The sequence below is a fragment of the Homo sapiens genome, chromosome 3 (genome assembly GCF_000001405.40).
Source record: "Homo sapiens chromosome 3, GRCh38.p14 Primary Assembly".
NCBI lineage: Eukaryota > Metazoa > Chordata > Mammalia > Primates > Hominidae > Homo > Homo sapiens.
This window is the reverse complement of record NC_000003.12, coordinates 2,754,420-2,767,460: the sequence shown is the minus strand read 5'-3', so window position 1 is coordinate 2,767,460 and position 13,041 is coordinate 2,754,420. Positions and strand designations below refer to the sequence as shown.

The 13,041-nt window shown below is 37.9% G+C and overlaps 1 protein-coding gene across 37 annotated transcripts in view, besides 1 other annotated feature; it reads right to left on the bottom strand.

The window, feature by feature from the left end:
- Nucleotides 1-13,041, bottom strand: part of CNTN4 (contactin 4) — a 959,094-nt gene that overhangs the window by 290,499 nt on the left and 655,554 nt on the right. The gene's annotated exons all lie outside the window — the stretch shown is intronic.
- Nucleotides 1,896-2,448: an enhancer, noted in NCBI's record as "OCT4-NANOG hESC enhancer chr3:2806697-2807249 (GRCh37/hg19 assembly coordinates)". NCBI's record gives its function as "activates a minimal SCP1, AML or CMV promoter by ChIP-STARR-seq in naive H9 embryonic stem cells {active_cell/tissue: H9 hESC(naive)}" and the evidence as "EXISTENCE:reporter gene assay evidence [ECO:0000049][PMID:30033119]".

The following is a 13,041-nucleotide window of genomic DNA, read 5'->3' as shown; positions in this document are numbered from 1 at the left end:
ACTAGTCCCTGATTAGCTGAAGCAAACAATTCGTTTATTTTAAAAATCAATCACAAAAAGCAGTTCAATAAGAGGAGAGAGAGAGCTGTTACTCAAGCATGTCTACATACCTCTGATCAAAAGGGTGCACTCACACCAATCACTTGATAACAAAAGAAATAAAGTCTTTGGAAGATCACCCTCCCCCTCTCCCCAGATCAATATCACTTCCAAAAGGAAAGCACATTCATCTTGTCTCTGAATATATTTTGCATGTTTAGCTCTAAAGTGTGAAGACTTTCAAGGTTGCCTTTCTTACCAGCTTCTCTTTGTCACCCTCGCTTTTACATGGAATGACTTATTAGCCTGGTATATTTTTTTTGAGATCTAATAAAAAAACTACTTTTAATCTCACTTAATCCATGTGATACACCAAGACCATTTTTTCTAGTATTGCATCCTAGTGAGCTTTGACTTATCAAGTCCTTACATCAGCTCCAAGTTGCAGGTCACTACCATTCCATGCCCTATAGTATTTAATCTCACTTTCCACCTTTAGCTTCCAAACCAACATGGACTTTGTCACACAACTTCCAGTTTAGGTTGAAGGTCATCATCTGGTCATTAATATTGCTGTGTTCTCAATATAAAAGAGACATATGGCGAATGTGTCCTTAATTCTGTTATTTCGTTGTGCTCTGCTACTATTGCATCTCCTGAATTTTTAATTTTTTATTTCCATAGGATTTGGGGGAACAGGGGGTATTTGGTTACATGAGTAAGTTCTTTACTGGTGATCTGTCAGATTTTGGTGCACCCATGACCCAAGCAGTATACGCTGAACCCAATTTGTAGCCTTTTATCCCTCATCCTCTTCCCACCTTTCCCCGCCGCGTCCCAAAATTCCATTGTATCATTCTTATGCCTTTGCGTCCTCATAGCTTAGCTCCCACTTATGAGTGAAAATATACGATGTTTGGTTTTCCATTCCTGAGTGACTTCACTTAGAATAATCGTCTCCAATCTCATCCAGGTTGCTGCGAATGCCACTAACTCATTCTCTTTTTATGGTTGAGTGGTATTCCATCATATATATGTATACCACAGTTCTTTATCCACTCACTAACTGATGGTCATTTGGACTAGCCTGATTATCTAAAAAATGTATCTAACACTGTGTGTGAAGCACTGGTGGAGTTTCTAGTGGGACTGACAAAGCAAAAGGTAGACTTATAGATAAAATTATAGATGCGATCAGGAGAAAGGTGAAGGAAATCCACAGGGCATTGAGAGAGGCAGTCACTGAAGAAGGCCACATTAACCAGAGTGGCAGAGACAGGTGATATTTAAATTTTGAACCAAACCCCCAAAGGAAGCCCTATTGTGACTCTGGGCTTTAACTCTGATTTGGAAAGAGTGGTGATGAGGGATGCCTTCTCAAGGGCCATCATAAAGTAGGATTCATTTGGAAATGCTATAGACAGCTGATCAAATTCTGGAAGGCTGTTCCTCTCCCACTGCCCAAATCCCTAAGTTCATGATACATTTTCAAAGCTGGTGATTTGTCCTTTCCAGCACCAACAATGTTAGTTTCTGTGTGTGTGGGTACAGTGTCATCATTGAAGAAACAGTCACTAAATATTTATTTTGATCAGTTTTAGGTTATTACTTGCTATGTATTTCTTGGCATATGAAGATTTCTTGAATAAGGAATTAGGTTTCTCCAGGTGGCACTTGCTTTATCAATCTGTAGGATGCTCTCTGAGGGCACCTGTTTTATAACTAGAAACAAAGACGACAGAGGAACTTATATGTGCAGCTATTCACAGGTATTAAAAACTCTAAGGCATATAAAATATCTAATTATAGCTATCCCATATTTAATTGATGATTAATAATTTAAAATTATTAAGCAAAATTAAAAATACACAGCAGGCTAGTAGAGCAGTATTTGATTAGCTGTCTAATCCCAGGAAAACAAATAGTTTCCCTTTTTACTACAGACCAGGTACTTCACATATGTTTTCTAATTCTTAAAATAACTATGTGAGACATACTCTAGGAAGGGGAGCCAGGAGAAATGTCTTCTTAACCCGGAAAAAAAGCACTATCAGCATTACTTGAGCTCCATTCTCTAGCACTGTCGGTTAAGTGGGCTTTTCCTGACTTCGTTAGCATCTTCAATCTCATCCTTTCATCTCCGTGCAGAAACTCAGTGACGACAAGTACGAGTGGTGATATTGAAACCCTATCCTCTATCTCTTTGTACTACACTCAGCACTGCCACTTACTGGCAAAAGAACAAAACACGGCTTCACCTTTTCACCTATGGATGCAAGTGGAGTTTAGTTGACAGTACGGCATTTAGAAATTGAGTCTGGGTATTTTATTACCATCAAATTCTAAACTCAGTTTTGAGTTTCTCAAACAAATTATTCCCTCTGACGGAAATGCATTTTCACCATAGTAAAAATATCAGAAAGCCAGTATAGTGTGGTGATTAATAATTCAAGTACTGAAGTCAAATTACCTGGAATCATACCCTAGCCCTTCAACTTCCCAGCTGTGTGAAGTTTGGCAAGTTATTTAATTTTTTTATGTCTGAGTTCTCTCCTTCGTAAAATGGGAACATCAAGAGTACAGGTGTCTAGTGTTGAGGTAAGTATTAAAAAAGAGAATTCCTAATTTAATGGCTGGTACATGCAAAGCAAGTGAGAAGTGTTAGCTCCTGTTATTGTTACAGGTGGATGGTTGACGATGTGTGAACTGATGATTAGACTTACAGAAAGCTACTGTCTTGCATACCATGTAGACTTCAAGACACTGAGCATGCTTAATGGGACCATATGAGAATTTTCCTAATCTTAAGTCAGTAAAGTGACACGCTTAAGCATAGTGGCCTCAGTAAATCTTGAGCTAAAATGCAGGACAAACTCTCTTCCCTTTTCTTCCTCCCTCCCACCACTTTCTGCTCTGCTGCATTCAGCCTTGCTCTGTGCCCTCCAGCCACACAGGCAGGTCTTCTTCGAATCCCTTGAAAATACCATGCTCTATGCCACCACAGCACCTTTGTACATTCTGTATTTTCTGTCTAGAAAACATTTCCTTTTTAATCCTTACTGATCCTTCAGATCTCAGTTACAATCATTTTCTTAGTGAAGTTTTTCTTAATGCTCTCTATGTTAATTTCCTTTGTCACAAACATTATAGAACCACTACCATTTTCTTAGCATTTGTCTCAATTGGTGATCACATATTTCTAGTGTGATTACTTGATGAACATTTTCCTTCCATACTAGAACATGAACTAGTTAAGATGAGGGACTGGGTCTGGCTTTGTTTATCTGCCCAGCACAGAGTAGGCACTCAGAAAAATATCTGAATGGATGAATGCTACAGTCTATGTTTTCTCCTCACTTGAAATGTCTTGCTCTTTTTTTTGTATCCCTCCACTTTATACCTCTCCTTAAACATCTAAAATACTATTTTAAAATTCATATGGAACAAAAAAAAAAAGCCCGAATAGCCAAGGCAATCCTAAGCAAAATAACAAAGCTGGAGGCATCATGCTACCCAACTTCAAACTATACTATAGGGACACAGTAACCAAAACAGCATGGTATTGGTACAAAAACAGACACACAGACCAATGGAACAGAATAGAGAACCCAGAAATAAGACTGCACACCTGCAACGATCTCACCTTCAACAAACCTGACAAAACCAAACAACGGGGAAAGGATTCCTTATTCAATAAATGGTGCCGGGATAACTGGCTAGCCATATGCAGAATATTGAAAGTGGACCCCTTTCTTATACCATACACAAAAATTAACTGAAGGATAAAAGACTTAAACATAAAACCCAAAACTATAAAAATTCTGGAAGACAACACCTGGGCAATACCATTCAGGACATAGGCACGGGCAAAGATTTCATTACAAAGACAACAAAAGCAATTGCAACTAAAGCAAAAATTGACAAATGGGATTTAATTAAACTGAAGATCTTCTGCACAGCAAAAGAAACTATCAACAGAGTAAAGAGACAACACACAGAATGGGAGAAAGTCTTCGCAAACTATGTATCTGATTAAGGTCTAATATCTAGCATCTATAAGGAACTTAAATTTACAAGAAAAAACCACCACTTTAAAAAGTGGGCAAAAGACATGAATAGACACTTTTCAAATGAAGACATACATGCAGCCAACAGTCATATAAAAAAGCTCAACATCAGCTGCGTGTGGTGGCTTACGCCTGTAATCCCAGCACTTTGGGAGGCCGAGGTGGGCGGATCACGAGGTCAGGAGATCGAAACCATCCTGGCTAACATGGTGAAACCCCGTCTCTACTAAAAATACAAAAACAAAATTAGCTGGGCGTGGTGGCACGTGCCTGTAGTCCTAGCTACTTGGGAGGCTGAGGCGGGAGAATGGCATGAACCCGGGAGGCGGAGCTTGTGGAGAGCTGAGATCGAGCCACTGCACTCCAGCCTGCGCGACACAGCGAGACTCAGTCTAAAAAAAAAAAAAAAAAAAAAAAGCTTGACATCACTGATCATTAGAAAAATGCAAATCAAAACCACAATGAGATACCACCTCACACCAGTCAGAATGGCCATATTAAAAAGTAAAAAAATAACAGATGCTGGCAAGGTTATAGAGAAAAATGAAGACTTATATACTATTGCTGGGAGTGTAAATTAATTCAAGCATTGTGGAAGACAGTGTGGCGATCCCTCAAAGATGTAAAGATGGAAATGTCATTCGACCCAGCATTCCCATTACTGTGTATATACCCAAAGGAATATAAATCATTCTATTATAAAGACACACACATGTGTATGTTCACTGCAGTACTATTCACAATAGCAAAGACACGGAATCAACCTAAAAGCGCATCAATGATAGACTGATAAAGAAAATGTGGTACATACACAATGAGATCATGTCCCTTGCAGAGACACGGATGGAGCCATTATCCTTAGCAAACTAACGCAGGAACAGAAAATCAAACACTGCATGTTCTTACTTATAAGTGGAAGCTAAATGATGAGAACACATCGACACATAGAAGGGAACAACAGATACTGGGACCTATCGGAGGTCATAGGGTAGGAGGAAGGAGAGGATCAAGGAAAATAACTAATGGGTACTATGCTTAATATCTGGGCTATGAAATAATCTGTACAACAAACCCTCATGACACAAGTTTACCTATGTAACAAACCTGCACGTGTATTCCTGAAATTAAAAAGTTGAAAAATTACCTTATATACAAACACTACTTTTAGGTCAGCTCTTCATTCCCGCTTTTCTACTGCTTATTCTGCCCTTCGTTCCTTCAAGACCTTCAATCTTCCTAACATTCACCACACTTGAGGTTACTTGTTCAATGTCTGTCTTCCCTACTGGATGTAGACTTCATATCTGTCTAGTTCATTGATGCATTCCCTGTGTCCAACGCATTGCTTGCTATCCAGTTGGTATTCATTAAATATTTATGGGAAGAAGGAAAAATAAACAAAAGAAATCTCCATACTGAGTATGGATAACTCAAGTTTTTACAGCACATTTGCCCAAAGGTACTTGATTATTCAAACATAGAGGAGAATTAACAAGTTCTTGACAGCATCAGTAATTAATTAATAATAATCCCTTCTTAGAAATCTCAGGTGATTACTGACCTTGAATTTTATGTAGGATAAATGGCTGGTTAGAGTAAAATGAAGCTAATATCCTAGACAGAACAACTGCCAACTGTGTTTGAAACCTCTGAACATCTACTATGTACCAATGTTTAATACCAAGTAAAATATAAAAACATGGATCCAATTCAGTTCTCAGGGTGTATGTGGACCAGTGAGAGAGCCAGACAAAACTATACCCTGTAATTATCATATAGCATAATAAATACTAGAATACTCACAGACAAAAGAGATAAGAAATCAGAGCATTCACATGTTAATGTACATCTACATGTGACTAGGTGAAAACCTGTTCAAATACACACACACACACACACACACACACACACACACAGGTTACACTTACCAGGCATATTTAATCCTCACAACTCTGAAGGATACTATGTAACTTAAATAATTCTCAAATACTATCATTATGTCCATTCAATAGATGAAGGCAGCAAAATTCAGAGGGGTATAGAAACTTACTGAAGGTCACAGCCTTTCTGTGGTCCTAGATAAAGGGAATAGCAAGTACAAGGCCAACAGGAAGACTGAAAGACCTAAGAAAATTTAGGAGAAATTATTTATTACAGAGTACTCTGGTAGAGATAGAAAAACCGCCCATTTAAAATAAACCTTGGGTCAGTGTCCATTGTTCTTAGAAAACGAGTACAAGGTGGGCCTTTTAGTTATGCAAATATACAGCAATTACCTCTCCACTGGTCTTGGAAAAGTTAGAAATGGAGCCCAGCTGGACAATGTTAAATGGTCCTCTTGCTTATTTAACAGTTCTCCTAGGATTTTCATGCCTAGAGAAAAATATTTCTTCTCTATGGATTTAGATTGTGCCTGGCCTGTAAAATAGTGACTGCTGTTAGGAAATCACTAACATTCTTGTTTGAGTGGTTGTTTGCAGACAATAGAACTGAGACCCTGAGAAAAGGAGTAAGGACAAATGAGTTCTACCTCAAATTTGGGGAAACAGTGGATTAGATTGTCAGGGCTCCAAATGTGTGGTTACCTAAATCAGACAGCCCAGAATTTATTGATATTGAATTTTATATTACATATCCAAAGGCAGTATGTTTTGCTTGCAGGGAATGTAGGATAGAGTCCATAGCTCATGCGATGTGAGCATCATATTTCTTTGATCTTAAGGTACTATTAACAGCTGCCTCCCAATTTCAAAACTTACTGCAAAGCTACAGCAGTCAACACAGTGTGGTACTGGCCTAGGGACAGACATATAAATCAATGGAATGAAATTGAGGGCCCTGAAATAAACCCTTACATTTGAGGTCAACTGATTTTCGGCAAAAGTGTCCAGACCATTCATGAGAGAAAGAACCATCTTTTCAACAGATGATATTAAAACCGATAACGTGCAAAAGAAAGAATCTGAAAAAAAAATCATTCTTTTGAACGAATACTTCAACGTATACAAAAATTAACTCAAAATGGGTGATAGAGCTAAATTTAACAGCTAAGACCATGAAACTCTTAGAAGAAAACATAGGAGTAAGTTTTTGTCACCTTGGATTAGGCAATGGTTTCTTTGATGTGACAACAAGAGCACATGCAACAAAAGAAAAAAATAAATTAGATTTTACCAAAATTAAAACTTCTGTGCTTCAAAGGACACCATCAAGAAAATGAAAATACAACCCAGTAAATAGAGAAAATATTTACAAATCGTATATTTGACAAGGCGCTTGTATGAGGAATATACAAAGAAATATTATAATTCAACAATGAAAAGATAACTGGGCAAAGGATTAAAAATGAGCAAAGGATTTGAATAGAAGTGTCTCCAAAGATGTAGCAATAGCCAATAAACATATGGGAATATGTTCAACATCATTAGCCATGTGGGAAATGCAAATCTAAACCACATGAGACATCACATCACACTCAGTAGGTTGACTAAAACTAAAAAAGCCAACAATAGCAAGTGCTAGTGAGGATGTGGAGAAATTATAAGCCTTACATACAGTTGGTAGGACTGTAAAATGATACAGCCAATTTGGAAAATAATTTGACAGTTGCTCAAAATGTTAAACATACTTTTTTTTTTTTTGAGACAGAGTCTCCTCTGTTGCCCAGTTACTGTATGTTAAACATACAGTAACTCCACTAGCTACTCCACTCCTAGGAATATACCCAAGAGAAATGAAAATACATGTGTCCGCAAAAAAACCTGTATATGAATGTTCATAGCAGCATTATTCATAATAGCTAAAAAGTAAAAAGAACCCAAGCGTCCATCAACTGATGAATGGGTAAATATAATGGAGTTACATCCATATAACTGCATATTCTTTAGACCTAAAAATAAATGAAGTACTGGCTAGGCATGGTGGCTCACGCTGTAATCCCAGCACTTTGGGAGGCCGAGGCGGGCAGATCACCTGAGGTCAGGAGTTCAAGACCAACATGGTGAAACCCTGTCTCTACTGAAAATACAAAAATTAGCCGGGCGTGGTGGCAGGCACCTGTAATCCCAGCTACTCAGGAGGCTGAGGCAGGAGAATAGCTTGAAGCCGGGAGGCAGAGGTTGCAGTGAGCTGAGATCGCACCATTGCAATCCAGCCTGGGCAACAAGAGCAAAACTCCATCTCAAAAAAAAGAAAAAAGAAATGAAGTACTAATACACACTACGACACAGATGAACCTTGCTAACATAACTGAAACAAGTTATAAAAGGCCACATATATTACGATTTCATTTACATGAAATGTCCAGAATAGGAAAATCCACAGAGACAGTAGATTAGTGGTTATCAGGTCTGGAAGGAACAGAAAGTGACTGTTAACGGTTACAGGTTTTATCTTTAGGGGGATGAAAATGTTCTGAAATTAGACAGTGGTGACAGTTGTACAACTTCGTGAATAAACTAAACATCACTGAATTGTACACCTTAAATGAATGAATTGTATGGTATGGTATCTTAACAAAGATGTTACTAAAAAAAAGTATGGTACTGGCTAGGTGCAAGGTGGCTCCCGCCTGTAATTCCAGCACCTTAGGAGGCCGAGGCAGGTGGATCACTTGAGGTCTGGAGTTTGTGACCAGCCAGGCCAACACGGTGAAACCCCGTCTCTACTAAAAATACAAAAATCAGCTGCGTGTGGTGATGTGCGCCTGTAATCCCAGCTACTCAGGAAGCTGAGGTAGGCGAATAGTTTGATCCTGGGAGGCAGAGGTGAGCCGAGATCCCGCCACTGCACGCCAGCAGACAGAGGGAGACTCCGTCTCAAAAAAAAAAAAAAAAAAGTATGGTGTTGAAAGTAAGAGGCAACACCTTCATAATGAGTTTTTTTCTAGGTGAATGAGAAAGACTATATGGAATATGCACCTTTATTGGAGGGCTCTTCCTAATAGAATATTCTATTTCTTTGTTTAAGGAAATAGAATATTCAAGAGGAAATATAACCTCATAGGCTGGTAAAGGCCAAGACATTTCGGTTTCTCTTATATTCCTTCATTGGTTCATTCAGCTTCATTTATTCCACAAATATTTATTCAGCACTTATCAACATTCATTATCACTTAACAGCATTTATTCGGCATTATTCAGCATTTGAGAAGAAAGTAGTCATTGCGCTTAGAAATAAGAAAAGCCATTTGTTGACTCCCTCACCTCAACATATACATTACTTATAGGACTATATAAAGAAGGGCCTTTAAGATATAATTAATCTAAATTTTATGAGGTAGAGCTAACAGATTACCTACCACACTAGACTGCATTCAATTTGAGGGGAAAAAAAAGTAGAGGCTATGAACAAATGAACAAATCTGAAATGCTAATGACAGATAACAATGCAAGTATTTAGGAGCAAATTAATACTCTAATCATAATTAGTGTGTACCCTAAATACATATTTCAGGGATAAATTACCTTCAGTGCCATCTACTGAGAGTTTAGTGGCTAGTTTGGAATTTAATCTTTGGTGAAATATGTAACAGAATAATTTAGTTCTTGGGAAACACACACATCTTTTCATGATGCCCTTGAATTTGAGATTTAACCTCTGAACCCTAACGCATACTTTTTTCTCTAAAGTGAATATATATTATAGACATGAAGTAAAAACTAGCTAGCATGGTGCATAAAATACATGACAGCTAGAAGGCAAATGCCTTGTTTATGTTAGAGCCTACTCCGGGAAAGGTGCTGACTGCGAAGAGGACGGAAGCTGGCCCTCACTAGCACAGGGACTTTCTGGGGCTAGAAATGTCATAACATCAACGATAACATCGCTTGAGAGACCACAGTGGAACGGTTACAGCCACAGGTAGGTCAGACACTCTAAACGTGATAATAGCCAGTTTCTAGGGCTTTAGAGTGCCAGACAAAGAGGTCGAATTCAGGGAAAATGACCTAGAAAACGGAAGAAGTCCAGAGAGCGGGACTCAGGGCCAACAAACTACTCCGCATCACTTCAAATCATTGCCCTATGGAGAAAGGGCCAATTCTGCCTATTTCAGAGAAGGCCTGCAGAGGTCTGTTCCAAGTGAGAGGTAAAAACATACCCGGGAAAGGGAAAGGTTACCCTTTGAATTTTTTGCAGTCCCCATTTCATTATCTGGTCAAATCATACTTTATAAAGTTCAAAACTCTGTTATGCTCTCCAGGGGAAAATGCATAGTGTGAGACAAAACTTGCACAGATAATCCTACATTTGATAGAGGCCATTTCTTTAATACTTTTCACCCTAATACAGTTAAGTTACAAAAGCACCTGATTTTGATCTCATTCAAAGATTTTTTTAAAAAATTGATCAAAGTGGTCAGGAAAGAAATGAAAAAGAATTGTGCATATGTTGGCCTGTTTGTTTCCTGGAACCACTGCAAACAAGTTACCACAGATTGAATGGCTTAAAAAAAAAATTTATTCTCTCGCAGTTCTGGAAGCTAGATACCCGAAATCAAGTTGTCAGCAGTGCTGGGCACCTTCGAAGGCTCTAGGAGAGAATCTTTCCCTGCTTCTTCTAGCTTCTGGTGGCTTTCAGCAATCACTGGTTTCCCCTGCTGGATCATTCCAATCTCTGCCTCCATGGTAACATAGTCTCTTTCTCTCCTGTGTTTTCTCCTCACTCTCTTATGAGGACACTTGATATTGAATTTATGGTCCATCTGGGTGATTTTGGAAGATGTCATCTACTTAATTACATCTGGAAAGACCGTTTTTCCAAATAAGGTCACTTTCACAGTTTCCAGGTAGACACATTTTTTGAGAGTTACAGTTTTAGTCTGTTAGGGCTGCTATAACACAATAGACTGGGAAACTTAACAGAAATGTATTTCTCACAGTTCTGGAGGCTGGGAAGTCCAAGATCAAGGTGCTAGCAGATTTCTTGCCTTGTGAGGGCTCTCTTCCTGTTTCACTGACTGCCACCTTCTCACTCACATGGCAGAAGGAGCAAGGGAGCTCTTAGGAATCACTTTTATAAGGGCACTGATCCCATTTACAAGGGCAGATCCCTCATGACCTAATCACCACCAAAGGCCCCACCTCCTCATATGATCACACTGGGGTTAGGATTTCAACATAGGCATTTTGGAGATATAAATATTCAGTCTATAGCAGGTACCATTCAAATCACTATAGTTAGTCAATTAGATTCTGACTTAACCACAAGTGAAAATATATGTACTACAGCACCATAACCTCTCAAATGAAAATTCTTGAAGAAAAGGATATTGATATAATTAGAGCAATTGTGACATTTTCAATCATTCAGAAAGTGGTCTCCCTTTTCCCCGAATGGCAACACATGAATGTTGACCTTCAGTGCCTAAAAATTAAACTTAAAAATGATCAGAATTATTTTAATATTTGTTGACTGAATTACTCATAACAACGAAACAAAAAGGAGTGATATTTTAGTACCTTGGTTTTTTTATGGTGATACAAAATATTAATTGTTCTCTTTTAGCCTTCATGTTTTTTAAAAGTCTGATGAATCTTGCTTGGATCCCCATCAGGTTTCATTCGCCAATTTTCATATATATATCATACTCTCAGAACCTTCTTGAATTTAAAGCAATCTCTATACTTCATTGATTGTCTTATGTCACAAACTGCTTTTTATCAGTCCCCAAACTGGACTGTGGGATGACCAAAAGAAAGTATACATAATAAACTATTAATAATAGCTACAATTAACTAGCATCTGTACTTTAATAGCTCCTAAGATTTACCTTGTGAAATTTTCAATAGACACCCATTATCACCATTAATGTCTTTCTGTCTAGTACTATACTCAGTGGCAGAAACTATCATTATTTCAGAAACTCAGCAAGTTTGGGTTTGACTTCTTCTACCTATTCCAATAAAAGTATTTACCCTTTTATTGAAGATCAAAGCCTTCCATTGAAAAATATTTTTACTTTTGATACCCAAATGTTTCTAAAGTTGATTACATTTCAGTTGATCTAAATATTCACAGATTATTCATCTAAATAGTCATCCATCCACATTTTATCGCTCAGAAAAAAAGTTTGCCTGTTTAAGCAGCTTTCCAAATTAAAAAGTAGTCAGGCCAGTTATGAGTTTAGCCGTGTATCAAACTCCCAGCTACTGTTCTGATCGACTGCACATTTTACTCATTGGCTATGAAGGATAAGCTAGTTATTAGATATTAAAAGCAATGAACATTTGAAAATTACCGTGAATAGAAGCAAGGATCTGGGCTCAAAAATCAGGTTGCCAAAATTCCCAGTGAGAATACAATACATTCTCAGTTTAATAAAGTTTTCTATCACCACCACCACTACCACTACCACCACCATCATTACAGTTGTCAGAGTGTGCCCCAGTTAAAGAGAACTCAGATTAAGGCTCGCTGTAGTAGTCATAAGAAAGATCTTTTTCAATGAGACTATCTAATCAGTTGCTGTTTATTCAATTGATATTTTCACCATAAAAAATGTTTGCCACTTAACTGATAAGGCTAACTTAAATTAACCTCAGAATGGAGTGATTTATTGTGTTACATTACTCTCTTTTTAAAATTTTTTCTTTTCTTTTTTTTTTTTTCACTTCATTCCGCAACAGCAGAAGAGTTACTTTATTCATAGATTGCTTGCTTGAAGTCACAGGAAGGCCAAAATGAAGTGGCTTTTGTACGTAAGCACTCCTTTCACTTAACATCTCCATTTTTCCATTTTTTAAAAATACTTTTCATCTTCTATGCCCTTCCCCTTAACACATGCTCAGAGGGTAGAGATGTAGGGCATGAATGGTGTATTAGTCTAGTTACTTTCCTCATCTTAAGTGAGGTATCCATAGAGGTAAGCATAGATATCACCCATTTGCTTCCTCCAGAATAATACCACCTTGCCCATGACCATGATAATGCCAGT